This window comes from Homo sapiens, chromosome 2, assembly GCF_000001405.40.
Source record: "Homo sapiens chromosome 2, GRCh38.p14 Primary Assembly".
Taxonomy (NCBI): Eukaryota; Metazoa; Chordata; class Mammalia; order Primates; family Hominidae; genus Homo; species Homo sapiens.
Genome location: NC_000002.12, coordinates 217,338,945 through 217,357,640, shown reverse-complemented (window position 1 = coordinate 217,357,640; position 18,696 = coordinate 217,338,945). Strand labels below are relative to the sequence as shown.

The window sequence follows — 18,696 nt, the reverse complement described above, 5'->3', positions numbered from 1 at the left end:
GATCATAGCTTTACGCTGCGTGCTTCAGTGGGCTTTCAATTTGGCCCAGTCTTTCCTTTTCTTTTTTTGAGATGGAGTCTTCTTCTGTCACCCAGGCTAGAGTGCAGTGGCACGATCTCAGCTCACTGCAAGCTCTGCCTCCCGGGTTCACGCCATTCTTCTGCCTCAGCCTCCCGAGTAGCTGGGACTACAGGTGCCCACCACCACACCTGGCTAATTGGCCCAGCCTTTCTTCTTCTAGAGAACTGAAGAGGGAGGTTTTCCCTCTGTGTATTCTGTGAGGGACTCCTGGTACGGGAGTGTGATCTTCACTGCCTAAGTCCTGAAAGGGAGCTTAGACCCTTGTATCAAAGGAGTAGACTTTAAAAAATTCTCCTTGAGAATGAAAGATGGTATCTCAGCATTTTGAGTTTTTGTTTCTTTCTTTCTCTCCTCTACTTGAATTAACATGAAGTCAAAACTAGATCTTAGAGTGGAGTTGGCTGCCACACAATTTAGAGTTGTTTGCATAACATTCCAAAAATAATTCAATAAGAATGGGTTTTTCTTGGAATTTATCACTGCCTGGCAAATTAGAGCCCAAGCACAACAACTCTGTGCAAAAAAGGCATGAGACCTGGCAAATGGAAATGACAGGGGCAGAGAGAAAGGAAACCCCGGCAGCCAGTCAACTTTCATTATCCATGATGGCGTGGCAGGAATGAGAACACAAGGCCGGAGCAGGGACAAACACGGCCTCTGTTCAGATGCCCGATTTTCTCCAGGACTCGGCAGCAGCTGAGAGGCCAAGGGGGAAGGGCACGGTATCTTAGGTCTCAGAGGAATTCTCTCCTGCTGTATTTTTCCACCTCTTCAGCCAAAGTGTCTTTTTCTTATTGTTTTCATGGAGAGGATCCACAGGTTAAGAAGAGAATAAATTAACATAAACATATAGCTGCAATAAATAGGAGTTTAAGAAAACAGGAACAGGGGAGTGAACCTGAATTGGACGACTAGGAAGAATTTCAGGCTCTGCCATTGTCCCTGAATTACCTGGTATAAGCCAAGTAACTTTTCTGAACTTAAAGTCTTTCATCTTTAAAATGGGAGAGAATAATAGCTAGAATCACAGTGAGAATTATTATGAGTATAATGTTTTATAGTTACAGAGAATTTTTAAATCTATGTGATGTAGACAGGAGACTTCACTTATCTAACTCAGGTTCTTTCATAGATGTCAACTCCTTCTAGCCCCACTGTTACTAGGCTAGAAACAAAAGCTATTGTCCGGGGCAGAATTATGTACTAGGATCACCTGCCCATGACTCAGTATATGACCTCTGGACTCCTCCCCACTCTGGACCACAGGAACTGTGAACATCACTGTGGACAAAGCTAAGTCTCTGCTGCTTTCAATGTTGATGCCCCCAAGCCTCTTCTCTTCTCACCCTTGCCCATCACCCTGGCCATATCATATATGCCTATGGCTGTACATTCCTTCATAGGGCTATGGCCCCTGAGTCTGTATCTTTAGCCTGGACTTCTCACATGACCTCTGCTGTCTGTTCAACCACTGGGACATCTGGCAGCCCCCCAATTGCACCTGCTCCTATCTGAAATTGGATTGTTCTACCTCCACTTCCCTGCCACAGTGCCTTAGCTCAGGCTGCATAACAAAATAGCATAAAGTGAGTGGCTTGAACAACAGACATTTAATTCTCACAGTTCTGGAGTCTACAAAATCCATGATCAGGGTGCTGGCAGATTCAGCATCTGGCAAGAACCCTCTTTCTGGTGTGGAGACAGCTACCTTCTTGCTATATCCTCCCATGGTGGAGAGAACAAGCTCTGTTTACTCCTCTTCTTATAAGGGCACTAATCCCATCACAGGGGCTCCACTCTCATGACCTTATCTAAGGTCCCACCTTCTAATACCATCACAATCGGAACTAGGGCTTCAACCCAGGAATTTGGGGGACACAAACATCCAGTCCATGCCACACAATGCATGACCCCTTCCTTCCTGTAGGTGCTCAAGCCAGGCACCTAGGAGTCATCCCTGATTTTCTCTCCTTTACCATCTACTTTTTTTTTTTTTGAGATGGAGTTTCACTCATGTTGCCCAGGCTGGAGTGCAGTGGTGCGATCTCAGTTCACTGCAGTCTCTGCCTCCCAGGTTCAAGTGATTCTCCTGCTGCAGCCTCTACCTCCCAGGTTCAAGTGATTCTCCTGCTGCAGCCTCCCGAGTAGCTGGGATTACAGGCATGCACCACCATACCTGGCTAATTTTGTATTTCTAGTAGACATGGGGTTTCACCATGTTGGCCAGGCTGGTCTTGAACTTATGACCTCAGGTGATCCACCCGCCTTGGCCTCCCAAAGTGCTGGGATGACAGGCATGAGCCATCATGCCTGGCCCTTTACCATCTACTTTAAATCCATCATCATCACTCTGGCTTCTCAAATCTCTTGAATGTGTCTAATTTTCTGTATCCTCCTGCTCCCACCCTAGCTCAAATTGCTGCCCTCTTTTCCCAGGCTATAGCCACAGCTGTCAAACTGGTCTTCTTTCCTCTGGTTTTGTCCGTTTTCCATTCCTTCTCCATGCTGTAGCCAGAATAATATTTCTTCAAAAAGCAAACCCAAACATGTCTCTTTTCTGCTTCACACCCTTCACTGACTTCCGCTTGACCTCAGGATAAACTTTAAATTCTTTAACGTGACTTGAGTGACTGACAAGCCTCACCTCCTCAGCCTGCCCCAACACTGTCAAATGCCTTATATGTCTTGTGGTCTCTGTGCTTCAGAGAGCTGAGTCTTCCCATAAGATGTTTCTTCTTAGAACGATTCCTGTGTACTTCAACCAGGCTGTTACCCATCCTTCAGATCTCAGTTAACCCTTACTTCCCACAGGAATTCTGCCTGGATTCCCACTCTTTAACTCCAGATAAAGAGCCATTTCCTGATTCCAAAAGTAGAAGTAATAGCAGGTTCTTTTCTTCTATCTAGGTGTCTTTTATACAGAAGGGAACAGACTCACCAGTTCAGAACAAAGCAGCAGCAAGCTTGAATGCCATCTCTTACTTCTGACTCCCAGCAGGTTGCAGTTGCTCAGAGGGAAGGGTACCTGGCAGGTCCTCAGAGGAGTCATGGGTCCACCTTGTCTGGCTGGGAAAAGTTCAACAGGTTCACTGACAGCTCCTATCAGCTCTGAGTACGGTGTCATGAAGCAGTGTATATCCACCCCAGACAGGAGCAGGCATCCTTCTCAGATGCTGAGCTCTTCCAGAGCAGATAAGATTTATGAACTGAGTTGCCATTGACAGGTAACTACGAATGTTCTAAAATATTATGTTACTAAAAGTTGATCGCACTCACAAATTCAAACTTAGTATTTTGGCATAAGTTCAAGCAACTGCATTTCAACTGAGATACATCATCTTGCTATCTTGCTTATAATTGAAGGCCATAGTTTCTGTTGATTTAGGAATAGTTCTGGTGATCAGAAAAAGTCTCATTATAAGATGACTTTTTCCTAGGACAAAATCCTAAAAAGGGGGGTGATTTTTCTAGGGAATAGGAAAGTCACCCTCCTATGAAATCACCCTCCTGGGTGAAATTAGCTGTACCTTCCTGTTCTGGGATCCCATATACCCTATACTTCCCCTATCATGTCTGTTTCATATGAACAGCATTTCATATTCTAACTCGTGGTGCTTCTTTAAGACTTCTCGTACCTTAAACTCTAGGAAGGTAGGAGCCCTATGTGACTTTTTCAATGCTATGTCTCCTATTCCTGAGACAAAACATATGTTCAGTAAATACTGACCGGAGGAATATCTGCTCGTTTCCTGCTCAACACTCTGGCAGAAATGAGGAACAAGGCCTCTGTGAGTGTAAGGGCTTTTTTGTCAACTGGATTTATCTGCTGCCTTTATTTCTGCCATGGCAGCTACTATCTCCTTGGGTTAAGAGCATTGAACTGGAAGAAGCTTGTCATTTTACCAACTGCAAAATGTGGGGAGGGGGAATAAGGAGAGGTGAGGTGAGGAGCCCATAAACTTAGGAGAACCTTATATGTGGGGTCAGTGTAGCTAGAAGAAGGTCAGCAGCTATTTGATCAGCTTCTCCTTTGTAACCTCAGATCTCACCAGTAATTAAACTGATGGAATATGCTCTAAATCCCTAGGCTTCATGTCCCTGGGGCCCTAGTGGTTTTGATGAATAGCCTCCACTATGAGGCACCCTGAAGGCAGTCCCCTGTGTGAATACAAATCTTGCCTTCTTGCCCCACCCCCATTTATTCTACACCTATCACCCACAAACCCCAACCCCTCCACTTCTTTTGCTCTACAAACTATTAGGAAGACATCCAATAAGTCATCCCAGCTGAAGTAGCATGGCAGGAGAAACACCTCATCCATAACCACCTCAACCACTCCCTTTGTCAAAAGTAGGGTGAGATAAAGACTTTAGTATCCTTTGGAAAAACTCAGCATCTGGACAATACATGCTAGGAAAGAACCTGTTCCTTCATCTCCCAACCCTGGGCAAGGTGGATGACCACACCTTGAGTGGGCAGCGTATAGAGTTGGAGGAATCTTACATTGTTGCTTTCAAATGGCACCCTTGAATATTCCCAAAACACACCATTGTGTTTGGAAGCCCAGGGGAAGGAAAGGAGCCACAAGCAAATTCAAGCATGCCTCAAAATCCTAAAAGTAAATCTCGAGCCAGACTGCCAAAGTTTAAATCCCAACTGAACTACAGGCTAGCAATGTGATTTGGGGAAAGTTTCTTTACCCCTAGTCACCTCTGTTTTCCCTGTAAAATAGGGATAATAATTATACTCAAGTTGGCCAGGAGTGGTGGCTCATGCCTGTACAATCCCAACATTTTGAGAGGCTGAGGCAGGCAGATCACTTGAGGTCTGGAGTTCGAGACCAGCCTGGCCAACATGGTGAAACCCTGTCTCTACTAAACATACAAAAATTAGCCAGTTATGGTGGCTGGTGCCTGTAGTCCCAGCTACTGGGGAGGCTGAGACAGGAGAACTGCTTGAACCCTGGAGGTGGGGGTTGCAGTGAGCCAAGATTGTGCCACTGTACTCCAGCCTGGGCAAGACAGTGAGACTCCGCTTCAAAAACCAACAAACAAAAAATAATAATAATGATACCCAAGTCAAGGGTAATTAGAAATATTAAATAAGCTTATTCAAGAACAGGACTTAGCACAAAGCATAGTACCTGAAAAATCCTCAGTAGAAACTATCTGGTTGTTATTGTTATTATTACTATTAACTGTATTGTTATTATTACTATTAGTTCTCCATAAATTGTTTTACCAAGTAGCATAGTTAAGTAAAACTAAATAGGAAGACATCTACAGAAATATTAAAGGAGGGATTTGAGGCAAGATGGCCAACTAGACTCAGCTAAGTGGAACAGCTGCCACCGAGGTACCTGGATGACTGGCATGCTCCTAACAGATCTTCAGAGGAAAGGCACTGAGAGTGGACAGAGGGAAGACACAGAAGCTGGGCTGAAGGAGAAAGAAGCTGGAAATCCCACATGGGGCTGCTGTACACCAGAACTTGTTCTTGGCCCCCAGTGACTGGGAGAACATGTGAGTTGATCTGGCAAGGAGCAACCTGCTCTCGCCATGGATCTCCTGAATCCTGGCAGAGGGAGACCCCTCTACAACCAGAGACACTTGAGTTGGCAGGGAGAGCTGCCAGAGAAATGGTAGGGACAGTACTCTAGTCCCTGTAGAGCCCAGAGGGTTTGGTGCAGGAGCATCTGTAGCAGAGGTTGGCTGTAGATGCCCATCCCCTTAGGCTTGCCTTCTTCCCATAGAAGATTTTAGCCCTAGGGGAACTGTCAGACCTGAACTGTGAGGGGAGGTTTTGCCCATCAGACAGGGCTCTTGTGCACCCCTTGGTCTGCTGGCCTCTCCCAGAGCCCCAGCTGAACCACACCTGCTTGCAGTGCAGCCTCGGGTGCCCTGGGGGCCTACATCACAGCTCCTGCACTGGTGGACCACACCTGACCAGCAGAGAGCTCCAGCAGAGCAGCCCCCATGGACATGCACCAGCTTGCTCACTCCCTCTGCCCACTGTAGCTTCCCCTGGGCCATGGCCACCCCCCACATATCTTTGCCAGCACGTGTGTGCCTGGGCAGATTTTGCCTTCCCTGACCTGCCAGCATGCGTGTGAGCGTGCATCCTGCCCTGCCGCTGCTGCCAATGTGAGTGCCCCCCAACACCCTAACCCCCACCACCATACTGCCATTGCAGTCTGAGCCTTGGTGGGCACAGAACCCATCAGCCCTGCCCCTACAGAGCCCCGCCCCTGCATCAATGCTGCTGACAAGTGAAACTAGGCACTCAGAACAGAGGACTCTCTGCTGCCCTGAGTGGCCCCCTTTGCCTGCATGAACATGCAAAGAAGGCACACACAGACCTGCAGCTGCCAGAATCCCACATCTATGCTAAGAATACCACCAGTGTGACTGTATGCACAGTCACCATGCACACCATCAAGTCATGCTGCCTCTGTTGCTGCTGTGAACACCTGCAAAAAGGCTGACACTCCAGTGTCTGCTAGCACCTTGCTGCAGCAGACTAGCATGCACCTTGCCACACTGCTGCTGCTGCTGGCATGTGCAAGTGATGATGGATCCTGCTGCCACTGTCATAGAAAACACTTTGGCTGACACCACCTGTTGGAGTGTGCTGACCAGAAGTCTAGAAGTACCTTGACACCCCCACCAGCACAGTGGGTTCCTAACCTTGAAGAGCCAAAGAACAAAGTTGGAGCTCAGTACTAGTCCCTCAGAGTTTGAGCACATAGTCCAGGAGTTAGGAGCTGAGCCTTAGCCACTTAAAATCTTGCAGAAATGAAACCAATAGACTCAATCCACCTTATACCACAATCAAACCCTCAAGGTCATCAAATAGGGTGGAAGAAAAAAAATAACATCCAAAGGACAGCAATTTCAAAGATTGAAGTAACATCAGTTCACAAAGATGAGAAAGAACCACTGCAAGAACTCTTGACAACACAAAAAGTCAGAGTGTCTTCCTTTCTCCAAACAACCGCACTAGCTCTCCAGTAAGGAATCTCAACTGGGCTGAGATGACTGAAATGACAGAAATAAAATTTAGAATATGGATAGGAAGGAAGATCATCAAGATGCAGGAGTATGTTGAAACCCAATCCAAGGAAGCTAAGAATTACAATTAAAAGATATAGGAGCTGACAGACAAAATAGACAGTTTAAAAAAGAACATAACTGATCTTATAGAGCTGAAAAATATAATATGAGAATTTTATAATGCAATCACAAGTATTAATAGCAGAATAGACCAAGCTGAGGAAAGAATCTCAGAGCTTGAAGACTGGCTTTGTAAAATAAGACAGTCAGCCAAGAATAGAGAAAAAAGAATGAAAAGGAATGAACAAACCCCCCAAGAAATATGGGATTATAGAAAGAGACCAAATCTATGACTCACTGGTGTCCCTGAAAGAGATGAAGAGAATGGAAGCAACTTGGAAAACATATTTCAGGATATCATTCAGGAGAACTTCTCTGACCTGGCTAGAGAGGCCCACATTCAAATTCAGGAAATTCAGAGAATGCCAGTAAGATACTTCACAAGAAGATCATCCCCAAAACACATCATTATCAGATTCTCCAAGGTCAAAATAAAAGAAAAAAATGTTAAATGTAACTATAAAGAAAGGTCAGGTCACCTACAAAGGGAAGCCCATCAGACTAACAGCCTCAGAAGAAAACCTAGAAGCTAGAAGAGACTGACGGCCAATATTCAGAAAAAGAAATTCCAACCCAGAATTTTATATCTGGCCAAACTAAGCTTCATAAGTGAAGGAGAAATAAGATATTTTTCAGACAACCAAATGCTGAGGAAATTTGTTACCACCAGACCTGCCTTACAAGAGCTCCTGAAGGAAGCACTAAATCTGAAAAGGAAAGACCATTACCAGGCACTACAAAAGCACACTTACAGACCAGTGGCACTATAAAGCAACCACACAAACAAGTCTGCATAACAACCAGCTAACATCATGATGATAGGATCAAATACACATGTATCAAAATTAACCTTGAATGTAAATGAGTTAAATGCCCCCAGTTAAAAGGCACAGAGTGGCAAACTGAAGAACCAAGACCCAATGATATGCTGTCTTCAAGAGATCCATCTCACATGTAATGACACCCATAGGCTCAAAACAAAGTGATGGAGAAAAAGCTACCAAGCAAATGGAAAACATAAAAAAGCAGGGGTTGCAATTCTAATTTCAGACGAAACATACTTTATGCCAACAAAAATCAAAAAAGTTAAAGAAAGGCATTACATAATGGTAAAGGGTTCAATTCAACAAGAAGACCTAACTATCCTAAATATATATGCACCCAACACAGGAGCACCCAGATTTGTAAAGCAAGTTTTTAGAGACCTTCAAAGAGACATATACTTCCACACAATAATAGTGGGAGACTTCAACACTCCATTGACAATATTAGACAGATCATTCAGGTAAAAAATTAAGAAAGATATTCAGGGTCTGAATTCAACATTTGATCAGGTCTATGGACCTCATGAACATCTAGAGGACAGAACTCTCCACCTCAAAACAACAGAATATATTTACTTCTCATTGCCACATGGCACATACTCTAAAATCAACCACACAATGGGGCTTAAAACAACTATCAGCAAATGCAAAAGAAATGAAATCTTAACAACCATTCTCTCAGACCATGGCACAATAAAATTAGAAATCAAGACTAAGAAAATCACTCAAAACCAGACAATTACGTGGAAATTAGATAACCTGCTCCTGAATGACTTTTTGGTAAATACTGAAATTAAGTCAGAAATCAAGAAGTTTTTTGAAACTGAGGGAAGAAAGATACAACATACCAGAATCTCTGGGACACAGCTAAGGCAGTGTTAAGAGAGAAATTTATAGCATAAACACCTGCATCCAAAAGCTAGAAAGATCTCAATTTAATAACATAATATCACAACTAAAAGAACTAGAGAACCAAGAGTAAAACAACCCCAAAGCTAGCAGAAGACAAAAAAATAACCAAAATCAGAGCAGAACTGAAGGAGATTGAGACACAAACAACCAATCAAAAGATCAATAAATATAGGAGTTGGTTTTTGGAAAAAAATGAAAGAAAAATACATCACTAGGTAGACTAATAAAGAAGAAAAGTGAGAAGATCCAAACAAACACAATTAGAAATGACAAAAGGGATATTACCAGTGACTCCACAGAAATACAAATAACTGTCAGAGAGTATTATGAACACGTCTATGCACACAACCCAGAAAATGTAGAAGATATGAAGAAATTCCTGGACACAAACACCCTCCCAAGACTGAACAAGGAAGAAATTGAATCCCTGAACACACCAATAATGAACTCCAAAATTGAATCAGTGATAAATAGCCTACCAACCAAAAAAAAAAAAAAAAAAAAAAAAAGCACAGGACCTGATGGACTCACTGCCAACTTCGACAGGATGTACAAAAAAGAGCTGATACTGCTCCTACTGAAACTATTCCAAAAAATTGAGGAGGAAGGTCTTCTCCCTAGCTAATTCCGTAAAGCCAGCCTCATCCTGATACCAAAACCTGGCAGAGACACAGCAAAAAAAGAAAACTTCAGGCAAATATCCTTGATGAACATCAATGCAAAAATCCTTAACAAAATACTGACAGACTGAATCCAGCAGCACATCAAAAAGCTTGTCCACTAGATCAAGGCATTTATCTCTGGGATGCAATGTTGGTTCAACAAACACAAATCAATAAAAGTGATTCATCACATAAACAGCTCTGAGACAAAAGCCACATAATTATCTCAATCGATGCAGAAAAGGCTTTCAATAAAATTCAACACCGCTTCAGGTTAAAAACTCTCAATAAACTAGATATTGAAGAAACATACCTCAAAATAATAAGAGCCATCTATGACAAACCCACAGCCAACACTATACTAAATGGGCAAAAGCTGGAAGCATTCCCCTTGAAAACTAGCACAAGACAAAAATGCCCTCTTTCACCACTCCCATTAAACATAGTATTGGAAGTCCTGGCCAGAGTAATTAGGCAAGAGAAAGAAACGAAGGGCACCCAAATTGGAAGAGAGGAAGTCAAACTATCCCTATTTGCAGATGACATGATTCTATATCTGGAAAACCCCATAGTCTCAGCCCAAAAGCTCCTTAAGCTGATAAACAAATTCAGTCAAGTCTCAGGATACAAGATCAACATACAAAATTACTACCATTCTTATACATCAACAACAGTCAAGCTGAGAACCAAATCAGAAATGCAATCACATTCACAATGGCCACAAAAAGAATAAAATACCTAGGAATATAGCTAACCAGGGAGGTGAAAGATCTCTACAGAACTACAAAACACAGCTTAAAGAAATCAGAGATGACACAAACAAATGGCAAAACATTCTATGCTCAAGGATAGAAAGAATCAATATTGTTAAAATGGCCATACCACCAAAAGCAATTTATAGATTCAATGCTATTACTATCAAACAACCAATGACATTCTTCACAGAACTAGAAACAGCTGTTTTAAAATTAATATGGATCCAATTTTAGGAGCAAAGGCAATCCTAACCAAAAATAACAAAGCTGGAGGCATCATGCTATCCAACTTCAAACTATACTACAGAGCTACAGTAGCCAGAACAGCATGGTACTGGTACAAAGATAGACACAGAGACCAATGGAACAGAAGAGAGCCAAGAAATAAGGCCACACACCTACAACCATCTGATCTTTAATAAAGCTGATAAAAACAACCAATAAGGAAAGGACTGTTTATTCAATAAATTGTGCTGAGATAACTGGCTAGCCATATTCAGAAGATTGAAACTGCACCCCTTGTTTACACCATAAACAAAAATTAACTCAGGATGAATTAAAGACTTAAATGTAAAACCCAAAACTGTAAAATCCCTAGAAGATAGCCTAGGCTATACCATCCTGGACATAGGAACAGGAAATGATTTCATGATCAAGATGCCAAAAACAACTGCAAAAAAGCAAAAACTGGCAATAAGACCTAATTAAACTAAAGAGTTTCTGCACAGTAAAAGAAACTATCAACCAAGTAAACGACCTACAGAATGGGAGAAATATTTGTAAACTATGCATCTGACAAAGGTCTAATATCCAGCATCTATAAGGAACTTAAATTTACAAGTGAAAAACAAACAACTCCATTAAAAAGTGGTCAAAGGACAGGAACAGACACTTTTCAAAAGAAGACATACATGTGGCTAACAAGCATACAAAAACAGGTCATCACTGATCATTAGAGAAATGCAGATCAAAACCACAGTGAGATACCATCTCAAACCAGTGAGAATGGCCATTAAAAAGTCAAAAATTAACAGATGCTGGCAAGGTTGTGGCGAAAAGAGAACATTTTATACACTGTTGGTGGGAGTGTAAATTAGTTCAACCCTTGTGGAAAGCAGTGTGGCAATTCCTCAAAGAGTTAAAAACAGAACTACCATCTGACCCAGCAATTCTATTACTGGGCACATACCCAAAGGGTTATAAATTGTTGTATCATAAAGATACATGCACATGTATGTTCACTGCAGCACTATTCACAATAGCAAAGACATGAAGTCAACCTAAATGCCAATCAATAGTAGACTGGATAAAGAAAATGTAGTATATATACATCATGGAATACTATGCAGTCATAAAAAATAATAAGATCATGTCCTTTGCAGGAACATGGATGGAGCTGGAGGCCCTTATCCTTAGCAAACTAACACAGGAACAGAAAATCAAATACCACATGTTCTCACTTATAAGTAGGAGTGAAATGATGAAAACATATGGACACATAGAAGACAAAAACAGACACTGGGGCCTACTGGAAGGTGGAGGGTGGGAGGAGGGAGAGGATCAGGATCAGGAAAAATAACTAGTGTGTACTAGGCTTAATACCTGGGTGACAAAATTATCTGTACAACAAACACTCATGACACGAGTTTACCTAATAAACCTGCGCATGCATCCCTGAAGTTAAAATAAAAGTAAAAAAAAAAAGAAATATTAAAGGAAGACATGGATCTAGGCAGCCTTGTGTCAAATACTCTATCTATTATCTATCATCTCTCTATCTATCTATCTATCATCTATCTATCTACATGACTTAGATAATAAGACTGAAGTCTAGCCAGAATCCAAACCTAGAACCCAGAATTTCTGTTCTCTTATCCATTGCTGTTTACAGTTCACAGTGAACTTTTAAGGCACACAATGAAGGCTGCTCTGTATATGCCATTTCTATTCCTCACTCTGAAATGTGGGAATGGTTATTTCATTCTGCAACCAAGGAACTGGAAACTTGAGAAGTGAACTGGAGCCTGGAAGGTCATAATGGTATGTGTCTTCCATGAGTTGAAGAGGTTCGGTGTACAACTCACCTAAAAAGAGTCTGTGCAACCTTGCATTCTAGCAAGGGAAGGGAGAATGAGAGCAACAGGGGGTCAGGGATTATTGATGGTCTGTCCACAGTGAAGCCCTGTCCAGCTAGAACAGTGCCTACCTAGCACATAACAGGCCGTCCATAAATATTTACTAAATGATGATGGATGAATAAACAAATGAATATTAAACACAGCAACAAGCGGATTGAAATGTTCTTTTTAACTTTTAAAAATCACAAAAGGCATTTACATTGCTAGTTTGTCTCCATTAGCATGTTGTGCTAAATAACCTCGTTTTCTTTAAAAATAACATTTGTATTCTTTCAATATTCCTAGAAGTAATAAAAATTGGTTTAAAAGTATTAAAAATTACACTCACTGCATACCTAAGAGATAATAGTATATTCATTTTTTTCAATGTAGAACATCTCTCCCCTCTTAAGTTTCTGTGTTGTTAGTATTTACATGATTCTGGATAAATCGCCCCTGAATTTATGATGCTTACCATCATCTCTCTCTGTATTTTTTCCATTGGAAGATTCATTTATTGTCATGATTTCCATTACATTCTATATAGGGAGGACTCTTAAGTCTCCAATTTTAGTCTCATCTTTTCTTCAGTGTTCTGGTTCACCATTTTCAACAGGGTGCTGGACATTTCTGCCTTGATAATTTTTTTGCTAATTAGAAGTAGAACATATCATCCTCTCTTCTTCTGGTATGCCTGTTCCAATTAAAGTCCTCACTATCTTCCTAGGCATATCATCTAGAGCCCTCTATCATTAGTGTCTTTTTTCTCTCCTTGGCTCAGCTCATCCAATTAGGCATCAGATCTTAGGAACTGTACCTTCCCATTTCAGTCTCTGTCTCATTCTGAGGCTACGGCAATCACCTTTATTTTCTACACTGTTGCCAGATCACTTGCCTCGAAGCTCAGCTCCATCCACCTCTCTCCACCATCCATGGCTTCACATAGCCTAGAAAATAGAGCACCTTAGCCTGTATTCAAGACTCTCATTATCTGACCTGAGCTAACTTTTTACTAATCTCTCCCAATTTGCCTTCAGACAATGGAATCAATGCTTGTGAACATATCAAAGCTTTTGAACATGCCCAACTCTTCTCTGCCTCTGTGCTTTTTCTGCTCATGTTGTTCTCTCTGCCCAGGTGCTTCCTTTTTGCCCTCTTTCCTCCTGCAATTTTTGAGCTGGGATAGAAAAGGTGGGTAGAATATGCAAATACTCCCACCATGATGCCTCCCCAAATACCCAGAGCAGGAGTTACTTTCTACTCTCTGAGCCCCATAACATTCCATATTTCTCATGTGTCTCTTGCCACAGCCAAAGATGCATCATCATTATAGGTGAATGTGCTGTGTCCAGACGATTAGCTGTGAGCCCCTTACCATCTGCACCTGGCAAAGGTTGGAGTGGCACCAAAGGCCCAGATACAGTACCTGGCACTTGTGAGAGGATATTAGTTTTTACCTTGCCTTCTCTTTTTTTCTGGCTTTGCTATTTCCTGAAGGTGGTCTTTGGTCAGCCTTAGTTGTTGTTTGCATAATCATGCATCAAAATTATTCGTAGAGTCAGGATTGATCAAGCCTGGGGAATAGCTCTAATAGTTCAGTACTTCCAGGGAGGGGCAGGGAGAAGGGAGGCAGGATCATGAAGCTCAAAAAAAAAAAAAAAATTAAGGGGCTCTGTGGGAAACAAGGACATTTCAAGTGAGGTCTGGTGAGTGTAATGTCATCAGTTTAATTTCTAATTATATTCATTGGTGGATGGTTCCCCTATGGATGGGAAAAATCACCTACCAATGGGATATTTCTCCTAATTGTTATGGATTGTTGGCGTTGGGCAACCATCACAGACTGACCTGTATGGTGGTAAAGCTGGAACTGGAATTTTCTTTGAATCATTTAGAAGTGTGTTTACCTACACATCACAGAAATCACAGAAATCTTTTTTTTTTTTTTTTTGAGATGGAGTTTCACTCTTGTTGCCCAGGCTGGAGTGCAATGGCCCGATCTTGGCTCACTGCAACCTCTGCCTCCCAGGTACAAGTGATTCTCCTGTCTCAGCCTCCCAAGTAGCTCAGATTACAGGCATGTGCCACCAAGCCCGGCTAATTTTTTTGTATTTAGTAGAGACAGGGTTTCACTATGTTAGTCAGGCTGGTCGAGAACTTCTGACCTCAGGTGATCCACCCACCTCAGCCTCCCAAAGTGCTGGGATTACAGGTGTGCACCACTGCGCCCAGCCTCATTTATTTCTTAATGATATAAAGATTTACTTTCCTCACATAAGCAAGGAATCCAGAAGTGGGCACACTAGGGCAATAACTCTGGGCTCCATCAGGAATCCAGGCTCTTTCTCTTATTTTCAGCTCCTTCATTTTCAGCATATGGTTTTGCCTTTCTAGTCACAGGGTGGCTGCTGCATCTCCAGGCTCCACATCTAGATTCTAAGCCTCAAAAAGCCTGAGGGTCAAAATCTTATCCTTGAGGCTTTGACTATTTGACTTTTACTTACACTGTGTTGGCCAGATTCGTGTCATGTGGATGATACAGGCTGGAGAATCCAGTAGTTAGCTATCTAGCTTCTTTTACAGAGGAAGGCAAGTGAGAAGTTAGTTACAAATGATTTTTAGGTAAATCAAGTTGTTTTGGCTACTCTACCCTCTGGACTTCGTCTGTCATTATTCTGATCTTCAGAAAGAATAACATACATCTAGATTTTAGTAAAAACTGGGTTCTGAGAAATATATGTACATCTGCGTGTATGTACTTATGTACGCATTTGCATACCTGCTCTAGAGCTAGGGGTTTTCCTTGTGTTGTGAGTCCCTTGATATATGCTGTGATAATTCCATTTCTATTCTTCTTTCCCTTCCTTCCTTCCTTCCTTCCGTCCTCCCTCCCTCCCTCCCTCTCTTTCTCTCTCTCTTTCTCTCTCTTTCTTTCTTTCTCTCTTCCTTCCTTCCTTCCTTTCTTTCTTTCTTTTTCTTTCCTTCTCTCTCTCTTTTTCTCTTTTTTTTAAATTTCTTTTCTAAGAGACAGGGTCTCACTTTGTTGCCCAGGTTGGAGTGCAGTGGCGTGATGATAGCTCACTGCAGCCTCCAACTCCTGGGCTCAAGTGATTCTCCTGCCATAACCTTCCTAGTATCTAGGACTACAGGCACCTGCCACCATGCCTGGTTAATTTTTTAAAAAATTTTTGTAGAGATGGGGTCTTGCTATGTTGTCCAGGCTGGCCCCAAACTCCTCACCTCAAGTGATCCTCATGCCTTGGCTTCCCAAAATGCTGGTATTACAGGTGTGAGCCACTTTGCCTGGCCTCTACTAACTTTACTTACACTTTAGAAATTGGGATACTTGAAAACTTGGCTTTTTAAAATGTTTAATTTAATTTTTATTTTTATGAAAATTTTATATATTTAAGGTGTGCAATGTGATATTTTTGGTATACATACACATAATATACCAAATACTACAGTCAAGCTAATTAACATGTCCATCTCTTCCCATAATTACTTTCTTTTGTGTGTGTGGTGAGAATACTTAGGATCTACTCTCTTAGCAAATTTCAAGTATACAATACAGTATTATTAACTATAGCCCCCATTGCTGACATTAGATCTCCAGAAGTTACTCATCCTGCACATCCGAAATTTTCTACCCTTTGACTAACATGCCTGGTAACCACCATTCCACTCTCTGTTTCTGTGATTTCAACTTTTCTACTTCCACAGATAAGTGAGATCATATAGTATTTTTCCTTCCATGTCTGGCTGATTTTACATAGCATAATGTCCCCCAGGTTTATTTATATTTTTGCCAATGGTAGGATTTTCTTCCTTCTTAAGATTAAATAGGGTTGGGTGAGGTGGCCCACATGTGTAATCCCAGCATTTTGGGAGGCTGAGCTGGGGATTGCTTGAGACAAGGAGTTCGAGGCTGCAGTGAGCTATGATCACAACACTGCACTTCAGCCTGGGCTACAGAATGAGACCTTGTCTCTAAAAATATAAATAAATAAATAAATTAATTAATTAATTAAATAAAATTTTAAAAATAATTAAAAATTTTTGAAAAAGACTAAATATTATTCCATTGTGTGTGTGTGTATATATATATAGTGTGTGTGTATAACTATCCATTCATCTATCAGAAAACACTTAGGAAGTTTCCTTATCTTAGCTATTGTGATTAGAGGTGCAATGAACATGGCTTTGATTAATCCAACTGTGGAGATCCTAAAGGAACCACCCTTATTTCAGTGAGAGGCTATAAATGCAGAAGCCACACTCTATTAAGGAATCTAAAGATCCTTATGTGTGAGACTAAGCAATATTTTTTTACAAATGGAGAAGATATGGCTTTAATTTTTGTAGTCTTTAAGAATGTTGGCCTTTAATTTCTTTAGATTATAATACTAAAAGGGATTTGAATTTTGGACTTGATTGCTCTCTGGGAGTTTAATATTAGGAGATAGTTCAAATTCAAACTTGAGTTATTCTTATTGCACTGACATTGTATTTTAGGTTGTATTGGTATTATTTGGGTGTGGTGTATAACTTCTGATGAATTCTATTGGGCATCTTGGCCAGTGACAATCTGAGATAATATATAGAATAAGGAATACATTTCAAGCCTAGAGTATTTACTTAATACTTAGGTAAATACTTGTCTAAGTATTAAGAGTTTTAAGTATTAGAGTTTACCAGGGCAAAGATTAAACTGTACACCATGATCCAGACAGTATACACAAGGAAGAGGGGGTTGACATGGAGAGAGAAACCTCACAAAGGCAGGAGTAGGACTGCCCTGAGACTACCCAAGGGAACAGCCTAAGCCCTGGTAGACCACTAGTCTAATTACAACCTAATAGTTTAAGAAAACAGAATCTTGAGAGTGTTAGAGGAGACCTTCTGTATTCTTCATGTTTTCAGAAAGGGAGAAGATTTCCACTACTCTACCCAGCAAGAAAAAGTTGGGAAGAACGCGCCTCTCTTTGCCCACCCCATCGTGTTTGTGCGATTGGGTTTCAAGGTTTAGAAACCTGTGGCTCAGTCCCATCTGAGTTGTTGTTTTCCTACATCTGCCCTTGTCCTTTCTTCCCTACTGAGCTCATGGAGGTTAGGGGTCAGTTTTACGTACTTCCTGGAGGCTCTTTAGAGCACTGACTTCTTCTTTCCTGACTCCTGTAGCCTAATGGATATGAGAGAGGGACTCTGGGTTAGAGAGGCTTCTCTGCAGACTCTCTCACTCCCTTGAGAAGAGGCCCCAAGGTCTAAATCTGGGAATTGAGAATTCCTTTCTGGCCATGGGCCCACACCAATAGTTTCAAAAATGGATTTATTTGCCATAATGCTGATATTTTGATTTTCCTATTATCTGACTCCTTGATTCCAAAGTTGAAGTGGTGGTGGTAATGAGAGAGATGAGATGAATTATCACCTCTAAATTCTCAACAAGTATTAGCAAAAGAAACACTCACTGATGCAGTAAAAGTTTCCCCGGAAGGATCTGACAAACCCCGCTTCCAGGGCAAAGCCAGGACTGTTGGGGAAGAACAGAGTTGCAGAAGAGAGTGAGGGATCCTTAGAGAAAGAAAGATGGATTTTACCATGTCCCCTGGGGGTGGATTCTGTACAGACTAATAGATAACTCAATAAGAAAAGCCAACAAACACTTTGGACCACAGTCTGGAGCAACGTGTTTTCTGTAGGTGTCTAATAATAACATTTTCTTCCTGGTGATGTACTGCACCATCACAGCTTCCTAAACATCATGGGAATTATTAAGGGGAGGCATACATATGAGACATTTAGGAAACATCTATTGAATACATACATGACAGCGAGGATTTCTATCTCATAGACTTAATAAGAGATCCAGCACACTAAAGGGACACTTTGAGGAAAAAAGGGCAAAACCAAAATCCTATCTCGTCAATCTGAAAAAATTATACATGGGAGTCACATAAGCACTTAGCAGAAATAAGCAAATGTGGAAGGAAGTACTACCAATAGAAGATCATTGGAAAGGGGGAAAATAAATAAATATATAAAATATATTCATGTATATGTAGTATATAAATATATACATAATATTATATATAATGTCCCTCTTAAATAACTTGATACCTTCATATTAAATGACATATCCATATTAAAGTCTTTTTTCTAAATTGTTTCA

At 41.3% G+C, this 18,696-nt stretch overlaps 2 long non-coding RNA genes across 13 annotated transcripts in view; one reads left to right on the top strand and one right to left on the bottom strand.

The window, feature by feature from the left end:
* DIRC3 (disrupted in renal carcinoma 3) overlaps positions 1 to 18,696 on the top strand; it is a 506,425-nt gene that overhangs the window by 432,803 nt on the left and 54,926 nt on the right. The gene's annotated exons all lie outside the window — the stretch shown is intronic.
* DIRC3-AS1 (DIRC3 antisense RNA 1) overlaps positions 13,437 to 18,696 on the bottom strand; it is a 61,472-nt gene continuing 56,212 nt past the window's right edge. Inside the window, exon 6 of the long non-coding RNA NR_133642.1 lies at positions 13,437 to 13,471. This is a non-coding gene — a long non-coding RNA (DIRC3 antisense RNA 1). The remainder of the gene's footprint in view (positions 13,472 to 18,696) is intronic.